Below are 1,600 nucleotides of genomic sequence, written 5' to 3'. Positions count from 1 at the left end.
TTTTTCTTTGCATATACTACATCTCCGAGGAACAACTGGTTTACAGTCTTATCATGGGACACTATGTTGCAAGAACAATATTAGGAATCAATGTGTGAGAAAGAAAGTAGCATCTTAGTACAGGTTTTTCTCATAACTATGAGTTTGTTGAATGGATCTGTGTGTTGGAACATAACATTAATCTACTTTTAATTCAATATCCCTACTGCCTCAGGTGAAGGAAAAGTTATTAGCCACACATAACCAAGACAGTATCAGGTCTTTCTCTTTTTGTCCAATCTGGATGCTACATTGTCCTGTCTTGCCTGACCTGCATTGTAACTGTTATGTGTTCTAGAACAGACCAAACACTTCTTGATTTTTACTCACTCTCTGCCAATTGCTGTGATTTTTTTCTTCTTACCCCCCAAATGCTTGACTTAATCTTTAAATAATTTGATGTTTTCATCACACCATTCAATTTGAAGCCCCCTTTTTTTGATACTGGAGGAATTTGGGTGAAGCAGGAATTATGGTTGTGGCTGTGTAGCAACTTCAGTAATACACTTCTAAGAGCTGTCAACAAGACTGCATGGGAAAGAATTTCATAGTTTGCCATGGTTTTAGCAGGGAACGTGAATATTTTCTGGACTAGGTGCTCTCTAGAAGGCTTACTTCCATTGCTCAAGCAGTGAACCTCTTCTTTACATTGCTCATACCTGTCTCTTTACATTGCCCTTTACATTGCTCTTACCTGTCTCTCACCATTGCACCTCTAAAGAAGAAAGGGTTCTAAAGAAGAAATTGTTCCTGGGACTGTGGATTAAATAGATATGTAGCAGATTGTTTAATTTCTCCATATCTATATGCCCAGTTTGCATGTATGTATTCTTATATATGCATGTATGTTAGAAATAAGCATACTGCCTATAATCTAAAGTTAAAGACAAAATCAATAATCATCATGAATCTGCTATGGAACTGGACATGACACTGTGGTCCTCAGTGCCTCAGTGTTCCATAAAGTGTTTTGCTCAAGAATAGTGGCAATTTCTGAGATTTTCCATGTGGGAGCATTTTAGAGCTTTGTCTTCTGGACTGTAATATTCATTGCCTCCCGTGCCTTTGGTCTCTCACTGTTATGGGTTTTTCTCTGCCCCTGCCTCTGCTGTCCACTGCTGGAAAATCCTTAGAGCCCAGTCCTCATCTCATCAGCAATTATTTTTCCTGTAGCAATGCCTAGAGAAATTTTAGGCACTCCAAGGCCAGGGAATTTTTCTGGAATCTCAGATTCAAAAGAGATCACCTGGGATCTTTGTAGCCCCTTATACAGGGGCTTTAGGAATCTCTCTTGACCTGACCAACATTTTGCTTCTCAAGAGTAGGTTGGGGCATTCCTTCTCCAAAGAAGCATCCTATATTCCTCAGAGTCTGACAAGGCACATCATGTTTTCTGGTCATGGGTCACTGGGTAGAAAACATCAAATCACCTGGATGTTCATTGACGAATACTGATATTTCTTCTGTTTCATGAAGCTGTGTTTATAGGAGCCCATACAGTTATTGTATTTACCCAGCTTCTAATTTTCCGGAATATTTTTTGTTCCATACCAGACTACTC

This window comes from Homo sapiens, chromosome 3, assembly GCF_000001405.40.
Source record: "Homo sapiens chromosome 3, GRCh38.p14 Primary Assembly".
In the NCBI taxonomy this organism is placed as follows: Eukaryota; Metazoa; Chordata; class Mammalia; order Primates; family Hominidae; genus Homo; species Homo sapiens.
This window is presented reverse-complemented; position numbering follows the sequence as displayed.